General features: G+C 41.8%; 1 annotated feature.

Moving 5' to 3' along the window:
- Positions 426 to 475: an enhancer, noted in NCBI's record as "active region_17036". NCBI's record gives its function as "activates an Ori minimal core promoter by ATAC-STARR-seq in GM12878 lymphoblastoid cells {active_cell/tissue: GM12878}" and the evidence as "EXISTENCE:reporter gene assay evidence [ECO:0000049][PMID:35858748]".

Below are 701 nucleotides of genomic sequence, written 5' to 3'. Positions count from 1 at the left end.
TCATGACTGGGATAATTGTAAAGTTTTTCTTAACTTCTAGGGTAATTTAACAAGAAACTTTAAGAATAAAAATATGTATTAATGGCAATTAATCTGTCAGTTTTGAGATCTGCTTAACTGCTTTTGATTCCTCAAGCTTGTAGGGGTGAAATGTATAATGAATGCCCTTCCTTACCCCTCATAAGAGTCATGGCCTGCACTCCTACAACAAGAGGCAGGTTAAAGCGTAACAAATTTATTTAAAGTTTTACATTACATAGGAGCCTCAGAAATGAAGACCAAAGACCCAGGAAAAATGATCTATTTGTATGCTTATGTTTGATGAAGAATGGACAGCCATATAGAAATGTGTTGGACAAAAAGGGTACGATTGAATGATAGTAGACTGCAGGGGAAAACCCAGCAAGGCCTGTCTGTTCAGAGTCTTCTTGGCCTCTCTGTGTAGCATTCTTTCCTCCTGGGTGTGGGACAGGACCCCTCTGGAATGAGGGTCTTCAAGGAAGAAGGGCAAAGGGAGAGAATGACCTTTCTAGGTTTTTTGGCTTGCTTTGGGGGATAGGGGTTCTAGTTTCTATGGCCCGCCTTGGGGAAGAGAAATTTTGGTTTCTATGCCTCACTTCAGGGGAGAAAGAGAGGTGAGAGACAGGAGGGCGGGGAAAAGGTCATAGAGATCATGCTTCCGAGGCTTTCTGATATTTTCT

Source organism: Homo sapiens, chromosome 2, assembly GCF_000001405.40.
Source record: "Homo sapiens chromosome 2, GRCh38.p14 Primary Assembly".
NCBI classification, from domain to species: Eukaryota; Metazoa; Chordata; class Mammalia; order Primates; family Hominidae; genus Homo; species Homo sapiens.
This window is presented reverse-complemented; position numbering and strand designations above follow the sequence as displayed.